Consider the following 14004-nt stretch of genomic DNA (forward strand, 5'->3'; position numbering starts at 1 on the left):
ACTGCATGCCCCCAGGGGTACAAGTACTCTAGTTAGAGAAGCAGTTGCAATAAGGGCGACAACCAAAAAAGTGTAAGTCTTCACAACTTCCCCTCCCCAGTCTTCTGGAAAAGATCTAAGTCTACCTGCTTAGTTGTCATGTCTGTTGTTCTGGACACTAGAAGAATGGGGAGAGATGAAGAACTGAGGAAGATGCAGAGGCAATACTGATCCACAATGTCTGGAAGCTTCAAAATGCTTGTTGAATGAATATTTTTCCTTCCTGCTTTAGCTCAGTCTCATCATCGAGAATCAAGTCCTAATCAGGCAGTCTTTGTCTCAGTTCCTAACCCTACTCCAGCAGGTTATGAAGGTTAACAGCATGAACATCTTTATTATTTATCTGTATATTATTTGTACCAGCCTCGGAGAATGAAAGGTACCTTCCTTCTGAGATAGGTTGTTCTTAGCCGATGTGACCCTGAGAAATTTGGGAGAAAACAACAGTTTTGTTTCGTTTTGTTTTTTTCATTCTAATTGTCTCAAGGGGAAGTCCAGTTAAGAAGAAAACTGATATTGGGATTGAGTATACCAAAGAAGAGAAGTCCAGGGACTTTAAAAAACAAAAATGGGGAGAATCGATTTGGCTGAGAGGAAGCCTTTTGGCTGATTCAGGGGATTTAATCTGGATTGGACAAGTAGATCTAGCTGATCACTGGAGAAAGTCCCCAGAAGCCAGACGACTCTACTTAAAACAATTCAGAGGCATCTCTGCCCGGAGGTGGGGGCTTGTCCGGGTGACACGCTGCAGCCTCCTCTGCTTCCCTCGCTCTGTCTCCACTACCCAGGATAGTCCCCAAAAGGTACAACTATAGGCGAGATAAACGATCGGGCGCAAAGGCACAACCTAATATAATATTTGCAGTATTTCTCAGACAGACAAGGGAAACATCCAGCTCTGTGATTTTGCTTGATACAACAAAGCCAAACCTTCATCACACAAACGTACAAGGAAGCCAAGAGCGAGAGAGCTGTAAACATCTCAGAGCAGCTCTGCAGACAGCCCCGTATGGAGACACATTTCAATGGGGGTGGCAGGGGTGGGGAGGAAAGATGAAGCTTGCCAAGTCACAGGCACTCTGATTTGCAGGGAGCGTAGCATGGATATTTCAAATCATTTCCTTTTCGTTAGTACCTAATCCCCCAGCTGTTCTCCGAGCATTGGCTCAAATGCTGGAAAACAGTCAGCCTCAAATGTAAAAGCCACAGGGCTCCTTTAAATTATGTTGTCTTGCTACATTGATATATCATGTCAACCCAAACTTGTGGTGTATGGCTTCTGGGAAAAGGCAATTTTGTCTGATGATGAATTTAAAGGAAAATGAGCCATTTTTATCAAGGTCACTTAAAATTAAAACAGTGTCAGTCTGGTCCTATGTGAGGATTTTGATGTACTGGAGGGAGGTTATTTCACAGCTACTGTCCCTGATCTCTCCTGCATCTCTCTGGGCTCTGGGGTCTGAAAAGACTAGGAGCTGATGGGGAAGTAGAGGCCTCCTGCTTCAGGGAAGTAGAGCCGGTGTCTCGCACCAGAGCCCCAGATGGAACTCTGTCCCATTCACATTAATTGAATCCAGTACTTTGAACTCTTACATATGCCTGTTCATATAAATTAACTCATTTAGCCACATGAAGCACACTGTATTGTCCCCATGTTTTTTTCTGATGTGGAAACTGAGGCTCAAATGGGTGAAGCAACTTGCCCAAAGATGCTGTGCTAAAATGCTACAAAACCAGGATTGGAATGAAGGCTTCCAGTGTCAAAGCTCGGGCTCTTTCTATTCCAACAGGAGTTCTCATTCTACATTCATGTATTCATTTACTCCTTTATTTACATGCTCAACAAACATGCATTGGGCATTTACTGTGTGCCAGGCACTAGGGACACAAGGATGACTTAGGCATGGTCCCTGCACTAAAAGATTGCAGAATCTAGTGGAACTCACAGTCTAGTCTTGCAATATTTATTCAACAAATATTTAACATTTAGTAGAACAAACAGCTGGCCTGATTGAGCACAGTTCTTAAGCAGCTGTTTCATGTCCCATAGTTGTCCTCGCTATTGTTTTAGAAGTGAGTGGGTGGCATCCCGTTCCCCTTACTCAACAGGCAGTGCTAACTATGGTCCATGCCCAGGAAGGCCTTGTCTCTGATTCATTAGGTCATGAGCCTTAGACATTGTATTTTTTAGAAGCTCTACAGATGGAGTCATTACCAGCTGAAAACCCAAGCTTTGGGGTTTCACAAACCCAAGCTTTGGGGAGGCACACTCCTTTGGGGATGTAAGTGTAATTTTGCTTCCCTGATTTTCATCTTTTATTTGGGGCCTGGAAAATTAATAAAGCAGACTTTCCCCCATGTTTCATTATTTCTTGGATTATCATATTAAGCAGACCCTCAGTCCTACACTAGACATTAGTGGGCTAATGTTGCACATTTGTCAGTGGTTGAGAATCACTCCTTTGAAACTACCATTATTTAATTGGCTGAATATTCATCATAGCTCCTTCCCTACCCCATTTCCCCTTCTGAAGACACCCTCTAAAGCAGTGATCCCCGACCTTTTAGGCATCGGGGGCTGGTTTGTCAGTCTGAGACAAACCAGTGGAAGACAATTTTTCCATGGATCCAGGTGGCAGGGGGTGGTTTTGGGGTGAAACTGTTTCACCTCAGATCATCAGGCATTAGTTAGGTTCTCATAAGGAGTGTGTAACCTAGATCCCTCACATGCACAGTTCACAATGGAATTTGTGCTCCTATGAGAATCTGACAGGAGGCAGAGCTCAGGCAGTAATGCTTGCTCACCACTCATCTCCTGCTGTGCGGCCTGGTTCCTAACAGGCCACAGACTGGGGACCCTGCTATAAAGGACTTCATCCTTCACCTCCCACTACTTTGGAAAATGTCACTGATGCTGCCTCCTAGCCTCCCCTAGCAGCCTTGTTCATTCGGTGGTGCCACACCTTTGCCACAACTCTGCACCTGTTCTCTGTCCCCTTGCCTCATTGTCGTGCCTCTCAGGCCACTCTCACCTGGTGAACACTCACCAGTACCATAGGCCCTCTTTATTCAGGCCTGATTCCTCAAACCCAAGGCCAAGCTTAGCTCAGGGGGAGGTCAGAAAACTTTCTGAGACCAGGATAATAATGAAAAGAAAAAGAAAAAAAGGATAATGGTGAAAATGTTCTCTTTTTTCACCCCATGCACACATATTTTGGTGCTTAGGATCATTTATCCCAGGCCTTCTGCATTCATCTCCCCCTTTCTCTTCCTCCTCTTTTTCCTTTTTAAATTGTACCCATCACTTAATCCAAAACAAAATCATCTGGAAATAAAAACAGAATCTAGGAAATATAAGTCCAATGACTTTGTTCATTGCTTTTATTTTGTAGCCAATACAAGTGAAGCCAGAAAGGGAAAGTGCTTTTCCCAAAGGCACACAGCTTCCCAGTGTCAGTAGGTAGAACTGGAGCCCGGAGTATCTAAGTTAGGACCTCGTGTTTGTGTCAAGCCCTATCCTTAACACACTCCTCCAGATGGCAGAGGCTGCCAGCTCCCTCTCATGCCACTCAGCCAAATACCAGGACAACTTCCGTGGTAGAACCAAGTAGCAGACAAGTTCCATGGTGGGTTAGGCCTGAAGTGCAGCCAGGCAGCCAGCAGAGTGTCAGCCAGCTGGCCAGGGGGTCATTAGCATTCAGGAAATATGACAAGCCTCTGCTCCCTGTCTACTGCCATGCAGCATGCGTCACATGACATGACAGGAGTGGCCCTGGTTTAAGAAGGGAATCAAAGGCAGGGCCATCTCCACAGCTGCAGGTTAATAGTGGACGAATTACACACTTGGAAAACAGTTTTCCCCTCGATGCATTATCTGGACCATTTCAAAGCCCTTTGTCTGGGCTAAGCTGGCTGTCAGTGATATTTGCAGGCCAGGGACTTGCAGAAAAGATGTATTTTCTGACAGGGAGAAGGTCACCTAGGCAGAGGCCATTACAATGAGCTGCGGTCAGGTCGGAATTTCCCAGATCCCGGTCGATGTGGTCTCAGGGCATTACTCAAGCATTGGGATTAGAGCACTGGCCAAGAAAATGCTCTTCAAATTGGTCGACAAGTTACACGCCATGGGAAAGTCACTCTCTCGTTTACCCTCAGTTCCCCAATGCTTAAAGCTGGGCCCTGGGGTCGGAAGATTTCTGCAGGTCCAAATAGGGAGCTCAGCAGATGGGGGTGCTGCTGAAGGGTGGGCTGTGTGAGGGAAGCTGGGTGAAAGAGAGAGACTGAACTTCAGCTCCAGTTTGGCCCTGAACTCACTGAATAACTGAATAGGTCACTGGGTGTCCTGGATCTCAGTTTACTCATCTATAAAGTGGGACTAATAATACTTACTGATAGACACCTTTGGTACATTACACAAAACAGATATAAAAAGTCTGAAAACTTAAAAGTGATATTGTCTTCTGAATGTAATTTCAGGAAACAAAAGCCCTTCTTTATCACTCCTTTAGATGTGTATGGGTATGAACAAAATAAGTTATATTAATAGGGGTGTCCAATATTTTGGCTTCTCTAGGCCACATTGGAAGAAGAAGAATTATCTTGGGCCACACACAAAAAATACACTAATGAGCTGTATTAAAGCTGATGAGCGAGGGGGAGGAGCCAAGATGACCGAATAGGAACAGCTCCGGTCTACAGCTCCCAGCGTGAGCCACGCAGAAAACGGGTTATTTCTGCATTTCCAACTGAGGTACCAGGTTCATCTCACTGGGGAGTGCCAGACAGTAGGTGCAGGACAGTGGGTGCAGTGCACCATGTGCGAGCCGAAGCAGGGCGAGGCATCACCTCACCCGGGAAGTGCAAGGGGTCAGGGAATTCCCTTTCCTAGTCAAAGAAAGGGGTGACAGACGGCACCTGGAAAATCAGATCACTCCCACCCTAATACTGCGTTTTTCCAACCAGCTTAAAAAACGGCACACCAGGAGATTATCTCCTGCACCTGGCTGGAGGGTCCTACGCCCACCGAGTCTCACTCATTGCCAGCACAGCAGTCTGAGATCAAACTGCAAGGCGGCAACAAGGCTGGGGGAGGGGCGCCCGCCACTGTCCAGTTAGTTGTTTGATTAGGTAAACAAAGCCGCTGGGAAGCTCTAACTGGGTGGAGCCCACCTCAGCTCAAGGAGGCCTGCCTCCCTCTGTAGGCTCCACCTCTGGGGGCAGGGCACAGACAAACAAAAAGACAGCAGTAACCTCTAAAGACTTAAATGTCCCTCTCTGACAGCTTTGAAGAGAGCAGTGGTTCTCCCAGCACGCAGCTTGAGATCTGAGAACGGGCAGACTGCCTCCTCAAGTGGGTCCCTTACCCCCGAGTAGCCTAACTGGGAGGCACCCCCCAGTAGGGACAGACTGACACCTCACACGGCCAGGTACTCCTCTGAGACAAAACTTCCAGAGGAACGATCAGGCAGCAGCATTTGCGGTTCACCAATATCCGCTGTTCTGCAGCCACCGCTGCTGGTACCCAGGCAAACAGGGTCTGGAGTGGACCTCTAGCAAACTCCAACAGACCTGCAGCTGAGGGTCCTGACTGTTAGAAGGAAAACTAACAAACAGAAAGGACATCCACACCAAAAACCCATCTGTACATCACCATCATCAAAGACCAAAGGTAGATAAAACCACAAAGATGGGAAAAAAACAGAGCAGAAAAACTGGAAACTCTAAAAATCAGAGTGCCTCTCCTCCTCCAAAGGAATGCAGCTCCTCACCAGCAATAGAACAAAGCTGGACAGAGAATGACTTTGACGAGTTGAGAGAAGAAGGATTCAGATGATCAAACTACTCCGAGCTAAAGGAGGAAATTCAAACCAATGGCAAAGAAGTTAAAAGCTTTGAAAAAAAATTAGACAAATGGCTAACTGGAATAACCAATGCAGAGAAGTCCTTAAAGGACCTGATGGAGCTGAAAACCAAGGCACGAGAGCTACATGAGGAATGCAGAAGCCTTAGTAGCCGATGCAATCAACTGGAAGAAAGGGTATCAGGGATGGAAGACAAAAGGAATGAAATGAAGCGAGAAGAGAAGTTTAGAGAAGAAAGAATAAAAAGAAATGAACAAAGCCTCCAAGAAATATGGGACTATGTGAAAAGACCAAATCTACATCTGATTGGTGTACCTGAAAGTGACAGGGTGAATGGAACCAAGTTGGAAAACACTCTGCAGGATATTATCCAGGAGAACTTCCCAATCTAGCAAGGCAGACCAACATTCAAATTCAGGAAATACAAAGAACGCCACAAAGATACTCCTTGAGAAGAGCAACTCCAAGACACATAATTGTCAGATTCACCAAAGTTGAAATGAAGGAAAAAATGTTAAGGGCAGCCAGAGAGAAAGGTCGGGTTACCCACAAAGGGAAGCCCATCAGACTAACAGCTGATCTCTCAGCAGAAACTCTACAAGCCAGAAGAGAGTGGAGGCCAATATTCAACATTCTTAAAGAAAAGAATTTTCAACCCAGAATTTCATATCCAGCCAAACTAAGCTTCATAAGTGAAGGAGAAATAAAATACTTTACAGACAAGCAAATGCTGAGAGATTTTATCACCACCAGGCCTGCCCTAAAAGAGCTCCTGAAGGAAGCACTAAACATGGAAAGGAACAACTGGTACCAGCCACTGCAAAAACGTGCCAAATTGTAAAGACCATCAAGGCTAGGAAGAAACTGCATCAACCAACAAGCAAAATAACCAACTAACATCATAATGACAGGATCAAATTCACACATAACAATATTAACTTTAAATGTAAATGGGCTAAATGCTCCAATTAAAAGACATAGACTGGCAAATTGGATAAAGAGTCAAGACCCATCTGTGTGCTGTATTCAGGAAACCCATCTCACATGTGGAGACACACATAGGCTCAAAATAAAGGGATAAAGGAAGATCTACCAAGCAAATGGAAAACAAAAAAAGGCAGGGGTTGCAATCCTAGTATCTGATAAAACAGACTTTAAACCAACAAAGATCAAAAGAGACAAAGAAGGCCATTACATAATGGTAAAGGGATCAATTCAACAAGAAGAGCTAACTCTCCTAAATATATATGCACCCAATACAGGAGCACCCAGACTCATAAAGCAAGTCCTTAGTGACCTACAAAGAGACTTAGACTCCCACACAATAATAATGGCAGACTTTAACACCCCACTGTCAACATTAGACAGATCAACGAGGCAGAAAGTTAACAAGGATACCCAGGAATTAAACTCAGCTCTGCACCAAGCAGACCTAATAGAAATCTACAGAACTCTCCACCCCAAATCAACAGAATATACATTCTTTTCAGCACCACACCACACTTACTCCAAAACTGACCACATAGTTGGAAGTAAAGCACTCCTCAGCAAATGTAAAAGAACAGAAATTATAACCAACTTTCTCTCAGACCACAGTGCAATCAAACTAGAACTCAGGACTAAGAAACTCACTCAAAACCTCTCAACTACATGGAAACTGAACAACCTGCTCCTGAATGACTACTGGGTACATAATGAAATGAAGGCAGAAATAAAGACGTTCTTTGAAACCAACGAGAACAAAGACACCACATACGAGAATCTATGGGACACATTCAAAGAAATGTGTAGAGGGAAATTTATAGCACTAAATGCCCACAAGAGAAAGCAGGAAAGATCTAAAATTGACACCCTAACATCACAATTAAAAGAACTAGAGAAGCAAGAGCACACACATTCAAAAGCTAGCAGAAGGCAAGAAATAACTAAGATCAGAGCAGAACTGAAGGAGATAGAGACACAAAACACCCTTCAAAAAATTAATGAATCCAGGAGCTGGTTTTTTTGAAAAGAACAACAAAATTGATAGACCACTAGCAAGACTAATAAAAAAAGAAAAAAGAATCAAATAGACGCAATACAAAATGATAAAGGGGATATCATCACCGATCCCACAGAAATACAAACTACCATCAGAGAATACTATGAACACCTCTACCCAAATAAACTAGAAAATCTAGAAGAAATGGATAAATTCCTTGACACATACACCCTCCCAAGATTAAACCAGGAAGAAGTTGAATCTCTGAATAGACCAATAACAGACTCTGAAATTGAGGCAATAATCAATAGCTTACCAACCAAAAAAAGTCCAGGACCAGATGGATTCACAGCCGAATTCTACCAGAGGTACAAAGAGGAGCTGGTACCATTCCTTCTGAAACTATTCCAATCAATAGAAAAAGAGGGAATCCTCTCTAACTCATTTTATGAGGCCAGCATCATCCTGATACCAAAGCCTGGCAGAGACACAACAAAAAAAGAGAATTTTAGACCAACATCCTTGATGAACATCGATGCAAAAATCCTCAATAAAATACTGGATTCGGCAAACCGAATCCAGCAGCACATCAAAAAGCTTATCCAACATGATCAAGTGGGCTTCATCCCTGGGTTGCAAGGCTGGTTCAACATACGCAAATCAATAAATGTAATCCAGCATATAAACAGAACCAAAGACAAAAACCACATGATTATCTCAATAGATGCAGAAAAGGCCTTTGACAAAACTCAACAACCCTTCATGCTAAAAACTCTCAATAAATTCGGTGTTGATGGGACATATCTCAAAATAATAAGAGCTATCTATGACAAACCCACAGCCAATATCATATTGAATGGGCCAAAACTGGAAGCATTCCCTTTGAAAACGGGCACAAGACAGGGATGCCCTCTCTCACCACTCCTATTCAACACAGTGTTGGAAGTTCTGGCCAGGGCAATCAGGCAGGAGAAGGAAATAAAGGGTATTCAATTAGGAAAAGAGGAAGTCAAATTGTCCCTGTTTGCAGATGACATAATTGTATATCCAGAAAACCCCATTGTCTCAGCCCAAAATCTCCTCAAGCTGATAAGCAACTTCAGCAAAGTCTCAGGATACAAAATCAATGTACAAAAATCACAAGCATTCTTATACACCAATAACAGACAAACAAAGAGCCAAATCATGAGTGAACTCCCATTCACAATTGCTTCAAAGAGAATAAAATACCTAGGAATCCAACTTACAAGGGATGTGAAGGACCTCTTCAAGGAGAACTACAAACCACTGCTCAATGAAATAAAAGAGGATACAAATGAATGGAAGAACATTCCATGCTCATGGGTAGGAAGAATCAATATCATGAAAATGGCCATACTGCCCAAGGTAATTTATAGATTCAATGCCATCTCCATCAAGCTACCAATGACTTTCTTCACAGAATTGGAAAAAACTGCTTTAAAGTTCCAATGGAACCAAAAAAGAGCCCGTGTCGCCAAGTCAATCCTAAGCCAAAAGAACAAAGCTGGAGGCATCATGCTACCTGACTTCAAACTATACTACAAGGCTACAGTAACCAAAACAGCATGGTACTGGTACCAAAACAGAGATATAGACCAATGGAACAGAACGCAGCCCTCAGAAATAATGCTGCATATCTACAACTATCTGATCTTTGACAAACCTGACAAAAACAAGCAATGGGGAAAGGATTCCCTATTTAATAAATAGTGCTGGGAAAACTGGCTAGACATATGTAGCAAGCTGAAACTGGATCCCTTCCAAGCTGAAACTGGATCCCTTCCTTACACCTTATACAAAAATTAATTCGAGATGGATTAAAGACTTACATGTTAGACCTAAAGCCATAAAAACCCTAGAAGAAAACCTAGGCAATACCATTCAGGACATAGGCATGGGCAAGGACTTCATGTCTAAAACACCAAAAGCAATGGCAACAAAAGCCAAAATTAACAAATGGGATCTAATTAAACTCAAGAGCTTCTGCACAGCAAAAGAAACTACCATCAGAGTGAACAGGCAGCCTACAGAATGGGAGAAAATTTTTGCAACCTACTCATCTGACAAAGGGCTAATATCCAGAATCTACAATGAACTCAAACAAATTTACAAGAAAAAAACAAACAACCCCATCAAAAAGTGGGCGAAGGATATGAACAGACACTTCTCAAAAGAAGACATTTATGCAGCCAAAAAACACATGAAAAATGCTCATCATCACTGGTCATCAGAGACATGCAAATCAAAACCACAACCAGATACCATCTCACACCAGTTAGAATGGCGGTCATTAAAAAGTCAGGAAACAACAGGTGCTGGAGAGGATGTGGAGAAATAGGAACACTTTTACACTGTTGGTGGGACTGTAAACTAGTTCAACCATTGTGGAAGTCAGTGTGGCGATTCCTCAGGGATCTAGAACTAGAAATACCATTTGACCCGGCCATCCCATTACTGGGTATATACCCAAAGGATTACAAAACATGCTGCTATAAAGACACATGCACATGTATGTTTACTGTGGCACTATTCACAATAGCAAAGACTTGGAACCAACCTAAATGTCCAACAATGATAGACTGGATTAAGAAAATGTGGCACATATACACCATGGAATACTATGCAGCCATAAAAAATGATGAGTTCATGTCCTTTGTAGGGACATGGATGAAACTAGAAACCATCATTCTCAGCAAACTGTCACAAGGACAAAAAACCAAACACCGCATGTTCTCACTCATAGGTGGGAATTGAACAATGAGAACACATGGACACAGGAAGGGGAACATCACACACCGGGGACTGCTGTGGGGTGGGATGAGTGGGGATGGATAGCGTTAGGAGATATACCTAATGCTAAATGACAAGTTAATGGGTGCAACACATCAACATAGCACATGTATACATATGTAACAAACCTGCACGTTGTGCACATGTACCCTAAAACTTAAAGTATAATAATAATAAAATAAAATAAAAAATAAAAAATAAAACAATGGGGATGTATAATAGCAAAAGAAACCCACAAAAAAAAATAAAAAAAATTTAAAAAGCTGATAAGCTAAGCAAATACATCTCATAATGTTTTAAGAAAGTTTATTAATTTGTGTTGGGCCACATTCAAAGCTGCCCTAAGCCACATGTGGCCCCCAGGCTGTAGGTTGGACAAACTTGGGTTTTAATCAGTCCTCCCAGCAATCTCACCAAATTAGTGTGAGTAAAAATAATTCAGACAAAGCTGAGAACTATGAGTGTTGCATTCAGGTGATCATTCCCAGGTACTGGCCCAGTTTTGGGAAACAGTCCATCTTGCCCATCCCATCTGCTCTGAGATGTGTGTTCCAAATGCAAGTTGACCCCAAAATCTAGCCCTGATTTTGGATGGTAGTGAAATTGGGCTAACTGACCTGTAAGATTTCTTGGTGCCAAAATGCTGCAAACCTGTGATTTTGTGGTTCAATATTAGACCCTTGATCATACAGATGTAATGAACTGCATCTGCTCTGAGAGATTTGGAATTGACTGGCTCATTAAACACCTTACAAAACACATTTGGGAACAGAGAATGCTCTGCTTTGTCCAGGATTTGTGTCCACAGGGGATAGTGGGACTCAGGTGAGAAGTGCATGCACTACCAGGTTTTTACAACCAGCCCTTTGTTCATCATGACCCTACCTCCCTAAGCCAGACCCACTGAGCTCCGCCTGCCCATGAAGGTGGACAAATGCTCACGATATGCACAGCACTGCTCCCTCATCTTCCCCGCTCCTTCTCAGCCAGCTCCACTTTGACCCAGTTCTCCAGTTCCCATCCAGTTTCTGTGACTCCAGTCACCCCTTCACTGACGTATCCCTTGTTTCTTGATGGCTATGTCAGCCTCAGGCCCTCAGCTCTCCTTCAAGATCCCGGTCTTGGATTCATCCCACCAGCTGTGTCTCCCCAGCCTGCCTCGGTGGCAATATGAGGGGTACAGCCTCTCCTTGCCCACCACAAAGCTGTTTATCTAGGCCCAAGTTATTTCTGCCATTGCTTTCTGTGGTGTTAAGGTCCTGAGAGAGGCGTGAGCTCCTTGGATTCTGAATGCCATGATACCATCACATCATGGAATCTTCTGACAGGAAGAGCCTTTGGATCTCATCCTGTTAATAGTAGGAGCCTTTCTTCTAACAAACCATCATGCAGAACTACAAGACATGAACTAGGTATTTTAAAAGGTGGGGGCTTCCCTGGTAGAAACAGATTCCTAAGTTCCATCCACTTACCCCACAGCCCATGCAGGGAGCAGGGGTATCCTTAGAGACCTAGCTAAGGATAAACCATTGATCTCATCCAACCTCTTGAAGACACAGAAAGGTGAAGTGACTTTTGCTGTGTCACACAGCTGTAGGTAGTAGTGCTGAGATTAATAGCTAAGGCACTCACCTTCTAAGTCAGTATTTTTCCCTATACTTCATCCTTATCATCATCATCTTCATCTTTATTTTCATCACAGTGTTTCTCAGCCTTTAATAAACATTGTCCACTAAACCAGTTTCCTTTTGTTGCTGTTGGTAACTTTGGACATGATCCATTGAGCCTACCGTAGTGTCTTTTCTAGTGAGTCAGAGCCCAGGAAGGAGACAAAAATGGTATAGCTAGGAAGAAATCTAGATTGAGAGACAGAAGATCTGAATAGGGCCTCACTTTCCTTATCTGCAAAGTGGGAGGAACACCATTCACTTCAAAGATTCATTTGGAGAACCCAGTAAAGTGGCATCCACTGCAGTGCTTGGTGCTGTGCCACAGTGGGTGTGCCATGAAAATGCATTCCATTTGAATGGGAGACCTGCAGGGAACCAGTTTGAGGAGCCTTTGCTTTGCCTGAGTGGACCCAGCATTTCCAGCAAAATAAACTCAGCTTCTTTCCTCTGCATTAACATTGCCTTCTTTGGCTCCTTCTGTGGCCTTAGCTGAAAAATAAATAAATAAGCATGCGACAGGGTGAGAGGTGGGGAAGGGATGTGGCAAAAGACAAAGAAAGAAAGAGAGAGGAAGATTGATTTCTGGGCAGAATTTATACCTTTTTGGCTTTTTCAAAGGTAAATGAATAGATTGTTGTTGTTTTTCAGCCTGCCGCTGAGAGTGTGCGTGCGCCTCTGTTATGTATAGACCCTTTTAAAGGCTTCTGGAAGCAATCCCTAACATTTTCTATAGGTGCAGACAGATAATTGAATGCTTTCAAAGACCACTGTGAGGCAGGGGAAGTTCAATTTTGCCGTGTGCTGGTGCTGCATTGACGGAGCGCCCCGTGTGTGTGTGTATTCTCAGGAAGTTGAATTTCTTTTTTGCTTTCCTTCCCACTACTGCCCCTTCACCCCTTGTTCTCCCCCAACCTCTGATGAAGCACTTAGAGAGAGGACAAGAAACAATATATAATCGCCCCAAAGTCACACCAAATAAACACAGCAAAAGCTCCCAGCCGCTTCTCTGGCTGCGAATGAAAAGCGCTGCCTCCTGGCTCCCGGGCCTGACGGACAGGGGGCCTTTCTGCTCAGCTATTATTAGAGCCGATGTGGCAGAAGCTCAGGCAGCTCTGGGCGGTGGGGGGTTCTTGTTTTAATTTGTTGCCTGTGCAGGCAGAACAAAGCGACATAGGGAGAGAGGACGGGGGAATTTCCTCCTGCTGCTGTTTCGCCACACGGCGGCCATACCGTGTGTGTGTGTGTGTGTGTGTGTGTGTGTGTGTGTGTGCGCGCGCGCGCGCGCGCATGAACTGGATATGTCTGTGTGCAGTGCACGTATGTGTCGGGGGGGGCATGACCTGGAGATGCCCGTGTGCCATGCACTCGTGTGTGTGTGTGTACATATGTGCATGTGTACATGCAGAGGCCAAGCTCTGAGTGTGCCCATTGTGTAGAACAAGAATATGCTGCATGCAGCAGTGCTATGTTCCCTTTAGGGCATGAAGGAAAGATGCACAGAGGGTTGAGATAAGGAGGTAAAGAAAGCCCAACCCTCCAGATTCATGGCAGATTCAAGTAACCTTGACCATCAATCTGTGCAAATGATATCTAGTTTCGTTCTCACAACTACCCTTTCAAAAATTGTCTTTCTCATTTTATA

The 14004-nt window shown here is 43.8% G+C and overlaps 1 annotated feature.

Annotated features, from left to right (window-relative positions):
• Window positions 5033–5603: an enhancer, noted in NCBI's record as "NANOG-H3K4me1 hESC enhancer chr11:115837993-115838563 (GRCh37/hg19 assembly coordinates)". NCBI's record gives its function as "activates a minimal SCP1, AML or CMV promoter by ChIP-STARR-seq in naive H9 embryonic stem cells {active_cell/tissue: H9 hESC(naive)}" and the evidence as "EXISTENCE:reporter gene assay evidence [ECO:0000049][PMID:30033119]".

Source organism: Homo sapiens, chromosome 11 (genome assembly GCF_000001405.40).
Source record: "Homo sapiens chromosome 11, GRCh38.p14 Primary Assembly".
Classification (NCBI taxonomy): domain Eukaryota; kingdom Metazoa; phylum Chordata; class Mammalia; order Primates; family Hominidae; genus Homo; species Homo sapiens.